This window comes from Homo sapiens, chromosome 15 (genome assembly GCF_000001405.40).
Source record: "Homo sapiens chromosome 15, GRCh38.p14 Primary Assembly".
Taxonomy (NCBI): domain Eukaryota; kingdom Metazoa; phylum Chordata; class Mammalia; order Primates; family Hominidae; genus Homo; species Homo sapiens.
Window position 1 is genome coordinate 52,646,738 of NC_000015.10, and position 23,754 is coordinate 52,670,491.

A 23,754-nucleotide genomic window follows, 5' to 3' on the forward strand; every position below is an offset into this window, starting at 1 on the left:
CTCTGACTATAAACAAATTATGTTAAAAAAAGTTCTTAACCTAAGGTAATTTATGATCCTCTTTGGTATTTTCCACAAAATTATGTGTACATAAATATAGATGTGTTTTTCCCCCTAGCAAGGGGGTTGATAGCATTCAGCACATTCTCAAAAGGGTCAGTAGAAGATGCTGACGTACAGCAATCATTCTGTTTCTACATGGATATTTTTGAGAGAAGCGATTTAAGGTAAGTATGCATTACCCAAAAACATATACACCAATGCAATGTAGTCATTTAAAATTAGGATACCTATTTTTAAAAGGGTTCTCCTCCCCTTTTGTCAACTGTAAGTAGTCTCTGGGCCCAATGCAGAAGCTAATTGGTTAATATTACTGGACTCAATGACAGTGATAAAATGGAGTATACTTGGAAAATACTTTTGTTTTGTTTTACATTTGTGTGTTCTCTTTCATTAAGCTAACCTGCACCTTCCAGCAAATTGGAGGGCTAAATTAGTTTATGTAAAAAAAAAAAAATCACAAAAATTTTACCCTTGATCAAAATATGAAAAATAGAATGGAAACCAGATTAAACCTCTCTCCCAAAATAACATATGTCAGCTCAAAGCAATGAAAATACTGTGGTCAGTTGAAAGAAGCTGAAGTTTTGTGTACTTATGAAAATGACAAAAGAGCATTTTGGCTTTGAAGTTTGAGTTTTCACAAAACCATTAGATTTTTAGTCTTAAATTTTAATATTTCAAGACAATTACACTCGTATCTGTGATGATATTTAATTTCTGCCTTCCAGGCAGCTGGCTTGTCCCTTGTCATTAATATGGAAGGCAATTACAATGTCACCTTTAGCTCAGTTCTAGCTGAGGAATTCAAAAGAAAAGTCAGAATAAAGTTACTTCCCAGTAAATAAATCACCAAGGGATTTAGCAACTCTAGTCAATCAGCTCAGCATTTGCAGGGGTCAAAGGGGTGGGGGAAATCTGGGGGTGTCAGTACACACGAGTGTACATACACACACAACAGAAACAATAACACTACAAGAATCAAACTGTATGAATATGTTATCAAAACACTACAAACAGAACAAATGTTTCTTTTGCCTTCTATGTCTCTTCTCATTTTACTCATTCTTTCCTTACCACTATTGACTATTATCTTTCTTCAGATATTTAGCCATGCACTTACCCATGAACCCTGTCTTCTTTTTCTGCCCCAATCCCCATATCTCCATGGCTTTCCAGTTAATGAAGTACCTTAGGAAACTGAGAAACCTAGAAGTGTATCTTAGGGAAAGGTCTAAAAAACTATGCTTAAAATTCTCAAAATACTGAGAAAACTCAACATATTCACGTTTTTAACGTAGAATAACTTTAAAGGAAAGTTATAATACAATCTCACATTTTATTATAATAGCTAATTAATAAGTAGTAATGAATCTAAGTAGTTTCGCACATTCTTTCATTTAAATCCCACAATCATCCTAAAATCTCATGATACCGAGGGGGATACTAAGGCCCAGAAGGTGAAACTATGCCCAATATTACACAGCTAAATAATAAATTATACAGGCAATCCACCCAAAATTGTTTTTCCTTTTTATTTATTGATATACCACAGTTGTATGTATTTTTGGGGGTACATGTGATATTTTAACACATGTATATGATGTGTAATGATCAAATCAGGGTAACTGGAATATCCATCACCACAAACATTTATATTTTCTTTGTGCTGGGAACATTACAATTCTTCTCTTCTAGGTATTTTGAAATATACAATAATTATTAACTATAATTTCCTATCATATTATTGAATGACAGAACGATTTCTTCTAACTGTATGTTTGTACCCACCACCCAAAATTTGAACCTCAAAAAACAAAACACCTTCAAAATATTAAGAAAACAGAAACCAACATAAATTTTAATGGTAAAAATTTAGCAATGTTAAAGAACAGGAATATACATAACTGATTCACACAGCATCCCTCTCATATGACAGATGACAGGAAGCTTATAGCAAAATCTGAGGCCCATCCATGTATGAGCCTTAGGGGCTGATTACTTTTTATACTCTATCTTGACTACTTCCTCAAATTTATAATTTTACTGTTCCTGGGCTTATTATAAACCTTCTCTTCAAGTCCTATGATGTCCAGAAGTCTTTCAGTGAGTAAAACTGAGGAATCCAGTGAAGAAAGAACAGAAAGATATTTCCAGTTTCTCAATAGTCCTCATGCTGTCACTTTTATAACTGAGCCTCATCACAAAGGATTATATAATAGATTCAAGTAATACTGCAAACAATTACATTTTTAAAACTTAGGTCTTTGAATTTTTGATACTATAACATCTGAAGATTAAGAAAAAAATTTACTATATACTTGCAAAAGCAATACAGTTTATGCAAAAACACTGTCGATATGTGAAAATGCCTGACAAAAAGTTGTCAAGACCAAAGTTTTGGCCCTGCTGACTATGAAAAGCAAATATTTCTTAGATTCAAACTATGAACAAGTAATGAAATTTCCGCAAGGAAGAGTCAAGGAAAAAAATGTGTCATATATCACTTAAGGCATACATATAGAAATCAAACATTTGTGATAATACCTGAAGTAGGAACGACTTAAAAAAAGATTTTCACAGAACACTTAGAGAAAAAGAAAAACTCAGATTGTTACCCCTTCCCAATCTGAGTTTTTAAGTTACATATTTTTTAAAGAACTGTAAACAGCATTATATATTATTGCCTGATTTCAAAATAATCAAAAACAATCTGTTTTACTTAAAACCAACTGTAGCAATCACTGCATCTAGTAAATACTAGCACTTCTATTTGCTATTCCTTATAAAGAGGCAAAAACAAAAAAGAAATCACTGTTTTTGAGAATTAAAGTATTTTTCCATAAGCACAAAACAATAGCCAATTTAAAGATATGACATAGACAAAGACAATAAAAATTATATTGTCAAATAATAGACAAATCCAAAAAACTGAAATATGCTAGCAATGTTATTATAACTGACTAGATTATAAACCTCAACTACCCTGAAGTTCTGCTACTGAATAGGAACTTTCAGATGCTCCAGTATATAAAACATTTTTAGGTGCTAAGCCCAGCAATAATGTCTGGAATTCTGCCAATAATATTCCTCCTGAACACAATGGCAAAGCCTCTGTGTGACACAGCAGTACACTCAACTTTCTTACAATTTCATGTTCCCCCATCTTTTGCAGCATATGAATGAGAAATAGCCTTTCTCTTGGAGGCTCTATTAATTTTTATGAAATAAACCAACATAAAATGGGTAGCAAATCAATTTAAACAAAACTTTGGTTTTTATGGTTCTATAATTAGAAAATAAAATTAGTAATTCATAAGAGTTACAGCTAAAAAATGAAAATTGCTAGATTGACTTTCATGTGGTTAGTCATATTTAACAAACTTGAGTCCTCTCTGCCTGTGTCTGCCTCTCACTCCAAACTCCCTTTCATACCCCTACCCCTTCTACACACAGCTGCTCTTCTTGAAGTGAGTGCTTTATATTGTGGAGGCCACCAAGTCCAAATAATATAACTTTATTTTGCTATAATTTTTATAACTTCTATCAAATTCAAGTTTTTGGCTGCACCTTACAAACTTGAAAATCTAAGAAATGCCAGTCTTTTAAACTTCAGCCACATGTAGGTCTACGTAAAACATTTTTTTAATCTTTAAGGACTATTTTGTAAATTTTCACCAATTATTAGACATCTTTTTAATACAAATGTTATATACATAGTATTGTTACAAAGATCAGCAAAGGGCACAAAAGCATGGGATAATATTTTGAGTTCTCTTTAAAGAAAAGAAATATCTCTCCTTACCAGAAATGCTAACACTGTTAAGACTTTCTAATGACAGGTATTTTTTGAAAAGAACAACAACAAAACCCATCCTATTCCAAACTATATAGTTTGTAGAGATAACAAAGCCCTAATATTAACTCTGAGCTTATACTGACTTTACTCATCAGACATACATCACTGAGTGAACTAAAGGCCACTTAGCCATGTAAAACGAAAAAGCAAAGGAAAAGCCGGTTATTAGCTCAATACGGATCCTTCGTAAAATGGGCAATATGCTAATTAGTCTGCTCTGCTTTAATTAAAAGAACCATTAGCTAAATCACATATGTAAACTTTAATTTCACAGTATTTGAGAAAGATACAAAAAGACCTTTTGTTTATTAAAACACTTTAAAACTTTCCTATAATCTGTTGAACAGACCAATTTTTCCAGATCCTATATAAACAAATGGTAACCTACACTCTGTTCAATTATCACATATATTATATTAGTACAGTTTAATAAGATTTGACTATATTTGAAGTATTAACTAAGTCAGATATGCAATTATTACATTTAGGAGGCCTACTTCAATTTTAAAATACTAGTTTAACCTTGTATGTTGTCTTCAAAATCCCTTATCCTTCAGTTTTCTATATGGATGTTTAATAGAACACTACACTGACTTTGCGGTTGAATTATGATGCTTTATCTGAACTGCACAGAACTAGTCAATGGATTAAATAATTAAGAGATTGCACAATTTGAGGTAGGATTTTCAGAAATGCTTTATAAAAAGATTTTGGCACACCAATTCCTTAAACTATGTCAAAAATCTCACTTAGTTAAATTCTGACAATCTTTGTCAAATTCAGAAACATGAATTCAATTAAAAATATGCAGCTTATTTAAAATACATTTGTCTTAACAGCTTTAATTTAAAAAATACCTCCTGCCCCCACATACAGTTAATGCTTCTGGCTAATGCACATTCTCTTCCCTGTATTCTCATTTCTATCACATTTTTTCCCCATTAAAGTGAGCACATTGTACTTGGTTTCTTTTCTTCCTACTCATTGTTCAGTTCAGCATTTTAATAATCTTTTCAGTACTGCTGTTCAAAGAAAACAGGCTATATGAAGCTAAAGAAAATTCTCTAAGTTCAATGGTTTTCAAAGTGAGATAATTTTCCTAGACCTATTTATTAAAAATCCATGCAAAGCAAGCACCACAGCCAACTGGTAAACAGCTACAGAAAATTGGAAGCTTAAAAATAAAGCCGTTAAAAAACACTTCACTACACACCTTCTCTGTGAAGCCCTTTGTTTCCACTGAAAACCATACTGGAATCCTTGTATAAAGGAAGTTGCCTTCTGGCTATCAATAGCTATACTATCAGTAACTGAGGGATCCAGATGTCTGCAGCGGTTAAAACAAATGTTCAGCGTTGGGTGCTGATCCCGCTTCCCTCCGTGTAAGGTTTTTCACAAAGGCAGCAGAGTAAGAGCGCACATAGCAACAGCACTCACAGCTGATTGGACAGAGGGTGTGCTCAACCTCCCCTGCTCGCTAGGTCCACTACAGCTTCCTGTCTACTTGGCAGCACTGTCATGTTTTCTTTGCTCGTCTTACAAACTCAGCTGTGTTTAGGCAACTTGAAAGGAAAGAACAGTAGACTGATAATGGCAAAGTATTCTAGCGTTTGCCCCTGAAATGTGTTTCTTCAGTTGCTTTTAAAACAGAGAAATTCGTAAGACAAAAATTTATTTCAGTTAGTGATGCACATAAACTGAAGACAAAGAAGGGTTGTGGAAGGAATCAGTTACTTCACATCTAAATTAAATCAGGTTCTACCAAGTGAAACCCTCTGAAAATGTATAAATACAAAAATTTACAACAATCAGAATAAAGCATTGTCAACCTTCATATACCTGGAACTTTATATAAAGTATTTTACAACAAACTTCACAAATTCCTAGAAAAGCACAACCTGTTACATATTTAAAATGGGATAGGTCCTGAAATGGTCTCTCCTCAAATGCATGCAGTACCTTTTAAGAGGACTAAAGAAACAGGTTACCAGACTGACTAGAAAAAGATTCAGAAAGGAAAAATTATCAGTTACTTAGTAATCTCTGACAATACAAGATTTAACTAGGTATTTGTGGTAAAATGTCTCTGGATACATAGAACAATGACGTTTAGCTTAAATTCATTTACTTTTTGCTATCATAAAATTACCCAGAGATATAGAAGTATAGACTTTTTTTCAGGTTTCAAGTACTGGGCTTCAGTTTACCAGTTCATACTGTCTCCACAAACTTTAACAGCAAAAATCCCTCCCCAGCTTACAAAGCTGTTTGGGAGAATCAATGAAGGTAGTAGGGGATGAACAGATGTGATGAATTATAAAAATTTCTCATTTTAGAAATATTTCCCCTGAACGTCGCATCAACTAGGATGGTGGTTCAAACGTTTAAAGCAATGGAACTCTTTATTTGCATTCTTCCTATAAAATGCATTATCAGTGGTGGCTCTAGGATTTCCATACAGGAAAGGTTTGTGGGAGTAGGCTGAGGCCGCAGCAGAAGCATGCCGTTTATTACTCAGATCTTTGTTTATCTTGAGTGTCTTGGGGTTAGGGAGTGGAGTCTGATGGAAGTGTTGGAGTTACTAAAGTGCCCCATGAGCACTATGAGGCTATTTTTAAGTGAGAAGCCACAAATAGCATGCAATTTCATATCAGACCCAGAATCCACAAGATTTCTACCCCTGAAGAAGCTTCTAGGATTCCTGGAGTTCTATAGTACAGAAGAAATACAACCCGGAAGAGGCTTATTGCTTTAAAGAAATCTCATTAAAGAATCTGATCACCGGTTCCATACTTAGCCAGAGGGAGAGCTGCTAAGCCCCCTGAGAAATAACAAGACGTGCTTGGAAACACAATAAGCCTGAGGTAGGTGACTCAGAGAAAGAATGGCATGGTAGAGACAGTAAGGAATTTGGAGGTAGGCCAAGCTGTGTTCAAAACATGAATCTGCCATTTACTAACAGCGAGACCACATATAAGATTATTATACCATTATGAGCTTCAGTTTCCTCATCTGTACAACTTCCTAATCCAAGACTAGTCACAGGCCCACTGTACTTTTTCGTTAACACTTACTGCACAGAATGTAGAAAGACTGTTTACAAAATGACTGGTTTAATGACAGTCTCCTCCAACACACTGTAAGTGCTTAAAACGTAGGTACTATGTCTACTTAATTGTTTACCTAGCACCATGCCCCATTTATATTTTTATACAATATTTGATTTGATTTCACAATCATGGGAGGTGACTAGTGCAAGTAGAACATCTTATTTGACCATCTTCATTGTTTAAATAAGGAAGTTAGATCTAAAATTTACAAGTCACAACTAGAAGTTAAAGGAAATCAAATTTAAAAATTTTTTGGATTAATAAATTTATATTTCAAAATTAACCTTTTCCTATCTCCTATAATATATAATCCCAGGGTTGTTTTGGAATAGTTCCTTTCAGTTATAATCCTTAAACTTTAAAATTAAAGGGTAGTGATATATCTATAATATAAATCTATTGATGTCATATAAAAAGAGAATTTACAGAAAAAACATTAAATGTATTTAGTCACAACATGTAATTATAAATGATAAAAGACACTCCAAATAGATGTGCCACCTTAAAAACTTAAATCCAACTGAGACAGAATTTTATTTAGTGAAATGCTCCCCTCTATGCTGCTAGTTTTCCAATAAATTTCAGAACAGCACTTCATACATTTTTGAAAAAAGTTTGCTTTTCCCCAGTTTGCTCATCTTGGTACACAAAACTAAATAATGAGTATGCTATAAAATGATGGCGCATTATCTACTTTGTAAATCTCAAGACTACAAACTAAGAATCTGAATAACATGAAATTATACACAAGTGTTAGTCCCAGATTCTCAGTTCTCAATCCCCAATCACAACAAACCTCCTTCCCCTGCTCCTCCGGAACACACTTAGCATGGTCGTTAAGTATGTTCTCTAAATGGACAGTTCAGGAAACATACCATGCTCCTGTAGGGAAACAAATAGGATAGTAGATCTTTTACAAAAGTTTTAAAAACAAAACTATGTTTTCCAAATATAAAATGGGAAAATTTCAAATAACTATTTCAGATCATCTATGTTTTCTGTTAGCAGAAATAATTGAGATCTACCGATAGTAAGATACTTTAAGAGATAACATGCTATCTTTGAGACTTTCTAAACAAAAAAAGTATTGCAGATAGAAAAAAAGAACCCCTCAAAGGTAATGTTCAAATGGCTACTACACATATACGCATATTAAATAATTACTAAATATATGTATCATATATATATATTAAATAGCCACTACCTACTGGCCCATGGGCCAGGCATGATGCTAATCTCTTTACGTACTCTTCTCTGATCCTCAGGTAGTTGTTATCCCCACAGATTAAAACTGGCTTGTTACTTGCCCAAGTAACTAGAACCAAGTGGGTAAAGCCAGGATTCAAACATAATGTCTTCCTAAATCTAATATATGTGCCCTTAACCACTAGTATCCTTTCCCTAACAATTTCTTACATATGTTACTTACTATTTGCCGTAAGGCAAATATGGCATTACACAAAAATAAAGTTTAAATACAGAAATCTCATATAAGCATTTCCCATGTATTAGTCATTCAATAACCACAACGACAGCCTCATTATACCTCAAAATTACCATTAATACACTGCTTGTAACATGGAAAAATAGGATTTGACTGCAAACAGATAGCTGTTTTGTAGCTGTAGTGTGATCACAAAGACAACGATAAAAGGTTCAATCTGTAAAACTTCACTACTTCATGATCACAGATCACCTAATCCAGAGAAAGTGAAAGGAGGTCGAAAAGGACACTGAACTAGGGACCATCGATGTGGGTTCTGGCCCAAATCCTAGCTCTGATCAGCTTTTTGATCTTAAGCACTTCTTTGAAATTCCTCATTCTTTGTCTGCAATGTTGGTATGTTGTAAGGATAAAATAGGACAGGATAAAATTATTTTCAAAGTAGCAATGTGCTACACATATAGGATATTTCTATTCCTAATAGTCTTTGAGGGATAGGGGATAATGTTCAGATATGGTAGTGTAAACACGCTTGTACAAAATTCAACCTCATGATTGGAAAGACCCCTTAAAGCAGCAAGACATAAAGGAGGAAAGCCACAAATTCAAGCTCTTTCCACTTATAGGATGTGTTACCAAATTATTTAACCTGTCTGAATCTATTTCTTTATTTGAAAAGTGGGAATAATCATTTCTCTAAGTGCTACAAACCACCTAGGTCAGTACTCCGCTCTTAATTTGAAGTTTCCTCTTTCCCTTTGCAGACATCAGGTCTACATGATGTGACCATATGTCTGCATACATACACACACACACACACAAATAACAGCAATACATTAGCATACATTAGTTGTATACTGTATTAATAACAATGGGAATGAGACAACTCTTGATCAAAGAAAGATTTCTGTGAAGCTGATTTTTTTTTAAGTTTTTAAATAATGTCACATTGAACAACACATTTAACAGCTGAATAATTTGTAATGAAGACTAAGCAATAGTTAAAATATAACATTATTAACAGTTGTGGAAAATACAGAAATTTATCATATCATTAAACCAGTTTTTATTAAAAAACAAAATGTGATGTTAGGTCAGTTCAGGGATAAATTAAGCCATACATTATATTGACTTCCACTTACATGAGATTCCTAGCAATCATATTTGCTGCAATGATTACCCACTGACTTGCATTCATTATAACAAGGTACAAATAAACCAAATGGCCAAACAGCAACCAAAATATACTGTTTTAAGAGTTAAACACATTCTTAAAATTAAAATGCTAAAAAGTACCTAAGAGACTTAATTGGGACTCTCATATTTCAAAAGATTTTGGGTTATGATGACCTAGATTAGTTCCAGGAGCAGTAGCTTGTTTACCAAATCTAAGATCTTGGAAAGAAGAAAATGTTCTAGCCTGTTTTTGGCATCATTCATACTACATTGTTTAAAATGAGCTAGAATGGGGGTTATTTATAAGCTAAGCTACTGGACAAACACTTCATCTAATAATATCTTGTATACACATAAGTCAGATTTAATAAGAATCAAGATCAGGTATTAAGAATTCACTTTTAATATCCTATATACTTTGTCTTTGTAAATTAGTATCACCACTATTACATAAAATGTGTGCAGAGGTGCATACGGGTTTTTCTTTATCCATACTTCTTTTAAAGATATATTCTGGGATGTTGTTAATCTCCTGCTATTACAAAGAATGCTATGTTTGATTCAATCTGAAATTGAAAACCAATCACACATTTTTTATTATAATAAAATAACATTTTATGAAAAGTTTTTCCATGAAGACAATGGATCCCATATTTACTTGTCCCTTTGACAACTGCAACTTTGTGAAATAATATTTTGTAGATGAAGAAACTGAATCATAGAAATTAAGGTAGCCGTTGGGTTACCCTGTAAGAATCACCAACTCTAGGTTTAATTCCAAGTGCTGTTTTTTTTTCCACAATTACCTATCACTGATACATGTCATTACCTCTGCTAATAGAGACAAACAGTCATACAAATGACTGATTCTGCAGTTTAAATTCTGGAGAATGTTAACAGAAATCTGGTAGAGTGACACAGTTGTATGTGTATTTAGCCAATCTTGTGTAGGTGTAAGGAGACTCAATCATTAAGTCCCCAAAGCTTTAATACTGTTTGCTTTGCATTTAACATTTTTTAAAATTTGCTTATTTGAAACTATTTCACATTGGTTTGCTTCCAAGTGATATGACTAAACTCTTTTGGCTACCTCAAACTCTAGCATGTCTAAAACTGAATTAGTTTTCCTCTGAATAAGAGTCACCATTATTATCAGTGGCATCCTCCCAATTCCCTAAGCTAACAAACTTCGGAGAGAACATACTCATTGACTGTGTGTTTAGTAAGTGCCTGGCACAACCACTTCACTCAGATTATGTCATTCTAATAAAGTTATAAAATGGTGTAAAATACTATTACTATCCCAGTTTTAATCAATAAAATGGAAACTCAGAAAAGTCAGCAACTTTAGCTTACACAGAGAAGGTAACAAAATCAAATCTTGAACACTTTTAGTTCTAAGTGCTAAAACAATCTGTAGAATTAATGTGTGTAAAATTAATATAAAGAGTTGAGACTATAATTTTCTTTTTAAATAAAGTAGAAAAAAGAAAAAATCAGTCATCATTGCTTATAGCAAGATTGGTAAATAACTTGTTTTTGGGCAGGGGTCGATAGGGATGTTGTCATGGGGGAGCAATGTGAAATGTCTAATTGTGGATTGCAGTCAAAAAAATTGTAAAGTCACTGCTCCATCTGACACTGTCTCTCAATTACTACCATCCCCTCCACTGTCTCCAAATAGATATTGGTTTTTACCATATCATATTCAACAAACATGGACTTTGGAAGCACAATAGCTGAAATTAGGTAGAATTTTACTAAATAGAGTTGGAGAAAATAGTCGCTAGAGACGTACAGCCAAAATTCATATACATCACAGGCTGCCACCACTCAATTCTACTGGCCCTCTTTTACTAGAGGTGACACTACTTCTAAAGACACAGATGTTTAGAGATCCCTAAGGATTCACAATGTACAAATCCTATAACTACTGAATATAGCTTTCTGTGTAGAGGGAGATAATAGTTGTCTTTTTCCTTATATAAATGCTAGAGTCAACCTTTCTGTCAAGAGCTCTCCGTTTTCAATGCAATTTCAGTTTATAAAGTACTTATCATTTGAATACCTCAATAGTTTTCACCATTTTAGACCAGCAAGATTTTAACTACAGCACCTAAGAGAGGAAACATCAGTAAGACCTCATAAACTGAGTGCCTCAATTGAAGCTCGCACTTAATGGGAATAAATTTTCATTCTTCATTCACAAAAACAAAACAAACCATCAAACATGCATGCTCCCTTCCCATTCAAACTCAAAATATAGGAGACCACCACAAACAGAAAGGGATAGTGGAGGCCAGGCATGGTGGCTCATGCTTGTAATTCCAGACTTTAGGAGGCTGATACAGGAAGATTGCTTGAGGACATGAGTTTAAGACCAGGCTGAGCAACAGAGTGAGACCTCGTTTCTACAAAAAAAAAAAAAAAAAAAAAAAAAAAGTTAAAAATCAGCTGGGCATGGTGATGCACACCTGTAGTACCAGCTTCTCAGGGACTGAGGCAGAAGGATTGCTTGAGCCTAGGAACTGGAGGTTGCAGTGAGCCACGATTAAGCCACTGTACTCCAGCCTGGGCAACAGGGCAAGAACCTGTCTCAAAAAACAAAAAAAGAAAGGGATAGTAGAGTGTACAATTTCTGTAAGTTTGTACGGGCCATCTGATACTCTCTTACTCCTCTGGGCCAGCTCCCCTACCCCCAACCCCCAGCTCTTCTAAAACATCATAGGGTAACCTCAGCTTCTGATTCACCTGTTGCCCCAGGAAGAAAGGACTTTGTTTTTTGTTTCTTGTTTTTTTCAAACCACAAGTTTCTGAGGGCAGAGGCCATGTTAGTTCTTGCTCATCACAGTACTTCTAGCACATATGTGCCAGGCACATTGAAAGTGCTTGGTTATACTTGTTTCAGTGAACAAGAGAGGGAGAATGGTCCAGATGTCTAAGGTTTTACTATTTCTAACAGTTAAATTCTAAAATGTTGTCATATTTAACCAATATGACTATATAATCACAACTGTTTATTGCAGAAGGAAATATTCATAAGAATTCCTATCACTTTGAAAAAGAACATTTTGTCAAAATATGGGTGTTTGGTAGAAACATTTTAGAAATAGAGCATTTCTAAAACAAAATCCAAGTGTTTTGTACTAAATCAAAACAAGCATCCCATGTTGTCAATCCCTTGATTTCATACAAGGACCCATGTAAATTACAAAATATTAGATGCAATATCCTACAAAACACAGCTGGGGCAAATGAGCTATTTTAATCTATATTTAAGCTATCTAAGTACAGAATGAAATACCAGTTAATGAAAGACAAGACTTGAGTGCACTAGCAGAACAGTAAAATGACTATTAGGGTTATCATAAAATTCATTGCCCACTGAGGTGGGAGGTTTGCTTGAGGCCAGGAGTTCAAGACCATCTTGGCCAACATAGCAAGACCTGTCTCTAAAAAGAAAAAAATATATATTAAAAAAATAAAAAAGTAAAATTCATGATCCAAACAGTGGTAACACACTTAGAGTGAAAGGAGACCATTGTGAAATAGGATTGGACACAGGACAACAGGCATAAACCAGGATCATCCTATGTAGCATTTAACCCAGCCCATCAAAGTAGTTTGAACTTAATGGTACAGTTAGAGATATAAAACAGTTAAATATGTTAAATTTTTTAAGCGTGAATTTTGTATTTCATGAAACTCACTGATATAAGCCCAAAAATAAAATTATGATATCTTAGAACTTACATAGTAGTTGTTGAGCAAGCAACAGGCGCTTAATTTTTTATCAAGCATCTAATAAATACTAATTCTGTGCCAACCTGTGACAGGTATGAGGAAAACAGCTGGGAAGAAGTCAGATGTCATCACCACCCTTGAAGAACAATTATTCTAGTGAAGGAGACAGTATAATATGAAGAAATGAGGGAAGCACAAACTATCATATAGTACCTGGCCTTCTTTCAGTTCCTAAAGCATGCCAGACTCTTTCTAAATTCAGAACCTTTGCACATATACCTTTGGCCTGGGATGTTCTTTCCCCTTACACAGCTGGTGCCTTCTCATCCTCTGCTCATTTTCTCAGGGGCCTTACCTAACCAAAGAGGACTTCTCCTTGCTCTCACTTAGTCACTCTCTTAGCCTTCGTATATTTCCTTCAGCGCACTTGGAATGTGTTTATCTTACGCACTGAAGAAATGCTAATTTATTAACAATAACAACAGGCAAATTTATTGAGTATTTATTCAGAATCAAATACTATTTTCTTTTCTTTTTTGAGACAGAGTTTCGCTTTTTTTGCCTAGGCTGGAGTGCAATGGCTCGATGTTGGCTCACTGCAACATCCGCCTCCCGGGTTCAAGCAATTCTCCTGCCTCAGCCTCCTGAGGAGCTGGGATTACAAGCATGGGCCACCAATCCCAGCTAATTTTTTTATATTTTTAGTAGAGATGGGGTTTCTTCTTGTTGGTAAGGCTGGTCTCAAACTCCCAACCTCAGGTGATCCACCCGCCTTGGTCTCCCAAAGTACCGGGATTACAGGCGTGAGCCACTGTGCCTGGCCTAAATACTATTTTCTAAGCACCTTATATGGATTATCTCATTTCCTCATTACAGTAGCCCTTTAAGTAGGTATTATCACTAGCCTCATTTTTTACACATTGAAACTAAAGAAAAAAATTGTCCTCTATATTTCTAAATAATTAGTTTATACCATTTCCTGATTTAATTTGACAATTATCTCTAATTTCTTATTTCTTTATATCCATCTCTTTCTCAGCTTCCTAGTTTCAAGGATGAAATGTCTTATTTACTTTGAGTCTACTTATTACCATTCGACTTACTTCTAAGAGTATCTATGTATTACTTTGAGAACAATGTCAAAATATAATCACCTAGCCTGTTTCTTTCCAGTTTCCTGATAAAAGCCAGATGATCATTATTTCATTTCTGGTGCCAGAACCTAGAGGCAATTGTGCTCTGCTAGAGGCATGAAGTAATACAAAATACAGAAAATATTCCAGCAACTAGCAGGGAATTTGAGTTTTACTTTTTTAGTTGGACAGGTTGCTTTTCTCTGGGTCTTACATTTTCTCAACTGTAAAAATGAAAGAAACTCACACACTCTAAAGATCTTTCCAACTGTGGTTTCTAGTGACAGAGTGATTTTGTAATTTCAGAATAACAAAATTATTTTCACGCCCTCAGCTTTTTAAAGTGGATTTAATATGTACCACTGTGTAACCTGAATGTTGTTGTTTTGTTGTTGTTAGCAACTTAGAGTACCCTGGTAAATACCTCAATTCTGCACCATAAGCTACAACAAAAGGTACAGGCCATGGTTAGGCTACGACCTCCTGGACCACAGAAGTGTGCCTGCAGAACCAGCATTCAATCAACACAATAATTATTCAAAGGCATAGGTATGTTCTTTACTTCAATTTCTGAATAGTTAGTATGCCAACTTAAGAAGGACACACATGCTTAGATAAACAATATTTAAGAAAGGAGTTATGCCAGCAGAAATCTTACAAGCCAGGCCAAAAAAAAAAAAAAAAAAAAACAGCAAAAAAAAGGAGTAATGAATGATCAAATCTTAGACCCAGAAGGAACCTCCAAAATTATCGAATCTAATCTCTTAACAGATGAGGCAACTGGTAGTCAAAGAGGTTGGTGATTATTCACACAGATAGTGGCAAACCAAGACTAGGAAACTGAGATTGCTTCTTAGTGCTCTACCACAATATACTGAACAAACCTCACTCTTATGACCACCATTTTTTTTTAAAGCTTTAGTGTGAAAGTGTTTATCTGGTTGGAGAGAGAAGAAGATACATCTCTACTCTTAACACAGCTAGGAAAGCTTATTAGTATCATGGGGACTCCCTGCATTCTCAGACCTTACATGAAACTGAAGGGTATGAAAGCCTCTAATCCCATAGAATTCAAACTTCTGCCAGCAATTATCTGGAATGAAAAATGGAATCTCCAGTTTTACTCTGTATTTTTCTTCCATTTGTTTTAACACACAGCTATTTCAAAATAAATAGTGCAGCTTACTACTCTGACAAAAAGAGTATTATAAAACAACAGACATAGGGCCGGGCACGGTGGCTCAAGCCTGTAATCCCAGCACTTTGGGAGGCCAAGGAGGGCGGATCACAAGGTCAGGAGATCGAGACCATCCTGGCTAACACAGTGAAACCCCGTCTCTACTAAAAATACAAAAAATTAGCAGGGCACGGTGGCGGGTGCCTGTAGTCCCAGCTGCTCGGGAGGCTGAGGCAGGAGAATGGCGTGAACCCGGGAGGCGGAGCTTGCAGTGAGCTGAGATCGAGCCACTGCACTCCAGCCTGAGCGACAGAGCAAGACTCCGTCTCAAAAAAAAAAAAAAAAAAGACATAGTATTATTAGTATTGTGTACCATGTTAATATTCCCAAGAATTTTTGTAAAATAAAACACAAATCCTTCATATATTATAAACAAAGAATGGTGGCAAAGGGAAAAATAAATGGAGAAGAAAAAGAATTAGCTAACAGTAGATGCATGTTGGGTAATTTTTATAACAGCGGGCGATAATGTAATTTTGAGAGCTAAAAACTGATTTTAAGACTGTCTGATACTAGCAAATGAATGAGGCTCAAACTCCTTTTAGCTTAACATTTAAAACTCTAATCTCTCCCTATTCCAAAGCAACCCTTCCCATTCACATTAGTCTATCTGCCGACCGTTAAACAATGGAATCCTATCTTCACACCTTAACTCATTCCCTCTGATCAGAATGTCCTTCCTTCCATTCCCTTCCCTGCCCCAATCTCTAAATTTTTATCTATCCAAATCATAACAGTTTTTGAAGGATCAACTCAGCTGCTGTCTCTGCTAAGACAGTCCCAGACCTAAATTAACTTCTCCAGTGGAATTAATCATTCCCTATGACCTTTGATAGTAAACATTACTTTTACCATTCATTCAGTTCTCAAATGTCCTGCATTATACTTATCTTCTTTCTTGGATTATATTTTCTATAAGGCAGAGAATACAATACATATCTCAGAGGTCATACCACAGAATAGTTCATCAATAAATACTACTGAATGAAAAGAAAAAAATTTAGCCCAATGATCATGTGCACAAAACCATCACTTTTTTCAGATTACCTAATTGTTGCAAGATAAACTAAGAGTTGTACATATTGTTAAGATGACACATATTACATTAATTTAACTATTTAATCAAAACTGTTTTTTCTGAGACAAGGTTACACTCTGTTGCCCAGGCTAGAGTGCAATGGCTTTATCATAGCTCACTACAGCCTTAAATCCTCAGCTCAAGTGATCCTCCCATCTCAGCATCCCAAGAGCTGGGACTATAGGCATGCCTCAACAAGCCCAGCTAATTTTTTTTTTAAGTTTTTTTGTAGAGATGGGGTCTCCCTATGTCACCCAGGCTCATCTTGAACTCCTGGGCTCAAGCAATCTTCCCACCTCGGTAATCAAAACTTTCCTTAGTGAGATATCAAAAAAGTTGGGAAATATTGTAGTTGAAATAGATATACGTATCTACATAAAATGAATGCCACAAAAATTCAAATTCATTGCAGAGCAAATTTGAATTCTATCCATCCAGAGCAGGCATAAGTTTCTTTTTATCCAAAATTAGAGTAAGCTGAAACACTGTTGAATCAACAAAGGAAATCGATGCCAGAGTTTAACTTCACAGAAGGCCACTCTGCCTTGTGCTCAGTCCTTACTAAAGTAGGAAACCATGGACTGACAGCATCTGCAGTTGAGCACAACTGTCATGACAGCAAATTCTCATTTGCTCTTTACACAGCACTAAAGACTTTAGACATTATACCCCATAGATTTTCTAGATCTAAGTACTACTGTTAGTAAACTTTATTATAGTTACAGTTCTAGAATCCTAGTTGGAAAAAGGAGATTTAGGGAATACTGGCCCTGTATCCTCAGCGTGACAACTTGTTTTCGTAGAAAGCTGGTGCCCACTTTGTGCCCAGGCATTGAGCTGTATGCTAACATGTACTATTTCTTTCAATCCTCGCAGAAACCTTGAGAAAAGAATTGCTATTCCCATTTTTACAGATTTCCGGGCAATTAAGACATGGAGAGTTTAACTTTACTAAACTCACCCAGCTAGTAATAATGTTGATGTCTGAACAATGAGTTGTCCAGCTCCAAACCCATGTTCTTTCCACTGCCCTAATTGCCACACAACAATTCCTGAAAGTCAAATCAAGAATACCATCTAGAGTGTGCGCATGGTGGCTTACGCCTGTAATCTCAGCACTTGGGGAAGCTGAGGCAGGAGGACTGCTCAAGGACAGGAGTTCCAGACCTCGGCAACATAGCAAGACCAGTCTCTACAAAAAATTTAAAAGTTACCTGGGCAGGGTGGTGTGCGCCTATAGTTTTAGTTGCTTGGGAGGCTGAGGTGGAGGGATTACTTGAGCCCAGGAGTTCAAGGGTGTAGTGACCTATGATCATGCCACTGCACTCCAGCTTGGGCAACAGAGGAAACCCTATCTCTGGGTGTTGGGGGTGGGGGGGTGCAGGGGAAGGAATACCAGCTAGAAATTGTCCAAAAGAAAAAAACTATTGTTCAGAAAACCAAATATTGCACGTTCTCACTTGTAAATGGGAGTAAACACTGAGTATACATGGACATAGAAGTGGGAACAATAGACACTGGGGACTACGAGGGGAATGGAGGGAGGCAGGTACAGACTGAAAAAATACCTATGGGTACTATGCTCACCACCTGGGTGATGGGATCATCTGTATCCCAAAACCCAAGCATCACAAAATACGCTGATGTAATGAATCTGCATGTGTACCCCCTGAATCTAAAATAAAAGTTGAAATTACGGGGGTGAGGGGAGACTGAAGATTTTAGTTAGAATTTAGCTTGGGCATATAATGTTGGAGAATGAAAAGATGTCTACTATTTGTACGTGAAGGAAAACAAGATACAAATCAGATAGTAATTAGTCATTTTCTTTCAAGAATATCTATAAGAAAGCGAAATCAAATTTGGAATCATTTGTGTGAGTTTTGCTCATACATTAAAGCTAACAAGAGTGTCAAGTAGGGGAAATACAATTTTTCTTCTCATATACTGTTGGTGACCAAAAATTGGCACTTTTTTTTTTACCATAATCAAAAAATGTGATTTTTACAATAATCAAAAAATGTTTGTATATACTTTGATCAAGTAATTCTACTTTTAGAACTTCGTCTGGAAAAGATAAGGAAATACACCAGGATTTAAGTTAAAGGAATGTTCATTACAGTGCTGTTTATACTAGCCAAAACTTGAAGCTTAAGTATCCAACAAAAAGCTTGTACACATGAAAATGGTTAGGAAGATAAATTTTATGTTATCCACATTTTACCACAGTTAAAAATTAAAACATTAAGAAGTATAAATTGGCCAAATGACACAGGCATGCAAAAGTTAGCTATACGACCATTAAATATACCATAAGGGAAGAATATTTAATGACATGAAAATATACAAATTACATTAGGTAAAAAAAGTTTCCTAAACAGTATATATGGTTTAATTAAAAAATATACTATTAATATGTACGTACATTTACAGACTAGAAGGAAAAACACACACCCCGCCCTGGCACCCAAAACATGAACTGTCTAATCACAGAATAGGAGCATTACTATTGGGTATTTTCTCCTTTTCTTTTAGCTTATCTAAATTTTGTACTTCTTTGACAGACTCATATTACTAGTGTAATTTTTAAGAGGATAGAAGAAAAATTCCCTACTATTTCATAAGACTTTGAAGGATGTTAATGTCTTAGTTTAGGGAACCAATATATCTGAGGCCATGATTCCTCAAACTACAAACACTACATTAGCAAGAGACATTTCCAAAGGAGTCAAGAATTTTTCTAGTTGCCCCCCAGACTCACACACAGTACCCTGCTGACTTATTCATCTGTATGTTTCCAGAACCTCGCACAATACCTGATAAGTAAACATAAATGCTTAGAGAATGAACAACTACTTATATTTACATAGCACTCTATCTTGTATATAGGGAGTTCATGTATAACATCTCATTTGATCCCCCAATAACCTTGTGAAGTGGGCATAAACATTTCCATTTAGAAGCAAAAAACTTGACACTGGAGAATTAGATCTTAGGGTTACTAAACTAACAAATCTCAGAAAAGAGAATGCATAACGTTGTCAAGTAATAAGTTTTATGCTACACCACAAAGATATTAAAATGCATGCCAAGTGTTCATTCAACACTAAACATTTATTGAAGAGCCACTAAATGCCAGGTACCTGTCTGTGTATGGGGAAATGCAGCAGTGAACAAATGCCACTAAATCCCTTCCCTGCCCTCATGAAGCTTATATTCCTGTTGGGGAGAGGGGAAAAGAAATAAACACAGAATACCAGATTAAACAATGTAAGGACTATGAAGAGAGTAACGCAGAGTAAAGGGAGAATGAATTAGCTGTACTCTTTGAAGGATGGTCCGAGAAGGCTTCTTTGATGGCAGAAAGCCAAGTTAAAAAAAAAAAAGAGCCAGGAGACTTATATTCTGAGCGAAGATATCAAATATAAAGGCCCCAAAGTGTCAAATGTGCTTGTAGTGACTGAAGAATAACAGGACTAATATGGCTAGACTGCAGGGAACCTTGGAAATCACCAGGAAATGAGGTCAGTCAGCCTGAGACTTTAGGTTTAAAAATATAATTGTTTAATGTGTTATCAATGGAATAAAATCTGGGATTTCAACAATATTCACTTTTCTCTTTAATCCATTTTGCCTAAATACTTAAAAGCTAGAGGAAAAATCTACTAAAATATTAATTAGCTGTTCTATTTACATGATCTAATTTTTTATCATATTCTTATGGCATACTCCAAAACTTTTGTAAATGTTGTCTAACATCAGGGTCTAACTCCATTTCTGTAAAAGGAAGCAATGTACAACTTTAAAAGGCAATGTGACTAAAGATGTTATTGGAACAACTAGGAAAATATGAGTATAAACTGTATATTAGATATTAGTACTATGTAAGTATTAGATTGAATGCAGTAACTGTATTGCAGGTATACAGAAGAATACTTTTATTTTTAGAAGACACATGCAGTGGTATGGCCGTAAATGTTTAACGGCTGGCTCAGAGAGGAAAAAAGGCCTTGGTTTGTAGCACTGCCAATTTCCATGGTATAAATACCATTACCATGGCTGATTTCAAGTAACCAACTAGGTGAAGAGTTGAAATGAAATATACACAATCGGCTTTTGCAAGCCAGTACCTGCCAGCTGTAGCATACTGCTGGATACATGTTGTATCTGGGGCTGAAGTGTCAAGACATCTGCAACTTACACAAGTGGCCAACAGGTATATGAAAACATGTTCAACATTACTAATAACCAGAGAAATGCAAATCAAAACCACAATGAGATAAAACCTTACTCCGGTTAGAATGGCTGGAGACAAAAGAAAGACAAAAGAAAACAAGTGTTGGCAAGGATGTGGAGAAAAGGGAACAGTTACACATGGTTGAGACTGTAAGTTATTACAGCCATTACGGAAAACAGTATAGACATTCCTCAAAATATCAGAGACAGAACTACCATATCATCCAGCAGTTCCGCTACTGGGCATATATACCCAAAGGAAATGAAATCAGCATGTTGAAGAGATATCTGTACTCCCATATTTATTGCAGTATTATTCACAATAGCCAAGATATGGAATCAATCTGTGTCCATAAAGAAAATGTGGTACACACACGTGCGCACACACATAATGGAATACTATAGAGCCACAAAAGGAATAAAATACTGTCATTTGCAACAACATAAATGAACCTGGAGGACATCGTGTTCAGTAAAATCAGCCAGACACAGAAAGACACATACTGCATGATCTCACTTATGTGGAATCTTAAAAAAAAGCTGTTATCATAGAAGTAGCGAGTAGAACAGTGGTTTCCAGAAACTGGGTAAGGGGAAGGAGAGAATAGGAAGAGGTTGATCAACAGATACAAAATTACAGTTAGATAGGAGGAATAAATTCTGGTGTTCTACTGCATAGTAGGATGACTAAGGATAACCCTAAAGTATTATATATTATAAAATAGCTAGAAGAGGCTTTTGAATGTTCCCACCCACAAGGAAATCATAAGTGCATGAGGTGAAAGATATGCTAAATACCCTGATTTAATTATTTACACAACATATATATGTATTGGAACATCATACTGGACTTCATAAATATATACAATTGCAATGTGTCAACTGAAAAAAGTACCAGTTTGAAATAAACAAAAAGGCTTTGCATTAAAAATAGAAAAAAACAGACAACAAAACTCCATGTCTATCTAGCCCACCCACCCATCCCACCTACTTATATGGAGATAAAACAAAAGTTGTAAAATGGTCACAATTAATCTATGAAAAGGTAAATGGATGTTAATTGTAGTATTTCAACTTTTCTGTGGGTTTGAAATTTTTTTTTTTTTTTTGAGACGGAGACTCACTCTGTCACCCAGGCTTGAGTGCAGTGGTGCAATCTCGGCTCACTGCAAGCTCCGCCTCCCCGGTTCACGCCATTCTCCTGCCTCACTGTCCTGCCTCAGTCCTAGAGTAGCTGAGATTACAGGCGCCTGCCACCACACCCAGCTAATTTTTTTGTATTTTTTTAGTAGAGATGGGGTTTCACCATTGTTAGCCAGGATGGTCTCGATCTCCTGATCTTGTGATCCGCCCACCTCAGCCTTCCAAAGTGCTGGGATTACAGGCGTGAGCCACCGCGCCTGGCCTGAAATTTTTAATTATAATAATTGTAGAGCAAGCAAAGTAGGGTAACTTAGAGAAATCCTATGGTTAGTTCTTTCATAAAATGAATAATTTTTTGTATATCAGCATCCTTCTGTCAAACACACCAAATATGATATAGACCTTTAAAGTTATTTTAAGACCAAAATAAACAAAAAGAAGTTTGCCAATATCAAGGGCTAAAATTATACATTCTCTTACTGTTATAAATTTAAGTAGAAATGGCCAATGATCTCTCTCACAAACCATGATCTCTCTTCACAAAAGAAAATTGCTAATTTGATGAAAAATGTAAATGCACTTTCTAGATGTTAGGATAAAGTTTTACAAATAGCCTAATTTCAGATACTGACGCTAAATTAATTCCATTCAGGAATATACATTTGGTTAAGTGGGAAACCAAAATATGAAAACTTTAAATATTGTTTATTCCCAAATACAGATTGGTCATGTTCCCAAAGGGGATATGTTTAAGTCTGACCATTATTTAGGCTTAAATATTACTGACAAGCAATATGAGTTATGATTAGATTCCCAGAAGAGTCTACCAAAGGTTTCTTAACCTATAATGGCCATCTTGCAGCATCATGGAACAAATCTAAATTCTGGGTCATGGAAGCAGAAGGGCCATGCTCCAAGCACTGAATCAATCCTAGGTAATACTCTGAAACAAAGAAAAAAGCAGTTTTGGGCAACATCTCACCACTCTATTTTCCATCAGCCTCTTTCTAGTTCCCACCTCTGCCTCACTCTCTGCCCTGATGCTGCTCTAAACTGTTCATTAGGGTCTACTATCACCCAGAAATAGTGGGCTGTGTTCCAATTTGCCTACTTTCCCTCTCCATTGCATTTGCATTAAAGATTGGGTAGTTCAATGCTGGTTTTGACTTTTTTCTATGTTATTGTATATTTCAGAAGACAAGGTTGACAGTGACATAAGTGTCCATTGATCTTTCATGCTTGTTCCAACCAGTTTTCAAAACGGAGTTCTGAAACACTCATTTCCTCAGTGCAGCTGTTCCAAGCTGTGTATTCTTGTTAGCAGAGGAAACCATTTAGCAATCCCTACCCAGTGCTAGGCGTATGTTAAGTGCCAAACCATATGTTCTCAGTTTACCTTTCCCACAAGGCTTAAGGTTGACGGTATTAGAGCAAAAAACAAAACCGTTGTTCAGAAAGGCTATGTAATTTTTTCAAGGTAATTTGGCTGGTAAGTTCCGAAGTTAGAATTTCAATCCAAATTTGATCCTAAAAG

The 23,754-nt window shown here is 35.5% G+C and overlaps 1 protein-coding gene across 42 annotated transcripts in view, besides 2 other annotated features; it reads right to left on the minus strand.

Annotated features, from left to right (window-relative positions):
- The window catches only part of ATOSA (atos homolog A), a 128,495-nt gene that overhangs the window by 65,417 nt on the left and 39,324 nt on the right, over window positions 1-23,754 (minus strand). For 10 of the 42 annotated variants that reach the window (NR_169533.1, NR_169537.1, NR_169539.1 and 7 more), the window contains one exon: window positions 9,435-12,060. The exons of 28 other annotated variants lie outside the window; for them this stretch is intronic. Coding sequence is in view for 2 of the 14 variants with exons in the window: in NM_001385020.1 (NP_001371949.1) it covers window positions 5,133-5,169 (37 nt within the window). In the remaining 12 variants the exon portion in view is untranslated. Of the gene's footprint in view, window positions 1-5,132; window positions 5,304-9,434; window positions 12,061-23,754 lie in introns of those variants that run through there. 4 more of the 42 variants (NR_169552.1, NR_169551.1, NM_001385020.1 and 1 more) reach the window with 1 other exon arrangement.
- Window positions 12,346-12,535: an enhancer, noted in NCBI's record as "active region_9433". NCBI's record gives its function as "activates an Ori minimal core promoter by ATAC-STARR-seq in GM12878 lymphoblastoid cells {active_cell/tissue: GM12878}" and the evidence as "EXISTENCE:reporter gene assay evidence [ECO:0000049][PMID:35858748]".
- Window positions 21,164-21,243: an enhancer, noted in NCBI's record as "active region_9434". NCBI's record gives its function as "activates an Ori minimal core promoter by ATAC-STARR-seq in GM12878 lymphoblastoid cells {active_cell/tissue: GM12878}" and the evidence as "EXISTENCE:reporter gene assay evidence [ECO:0000049][PMID:35858748]".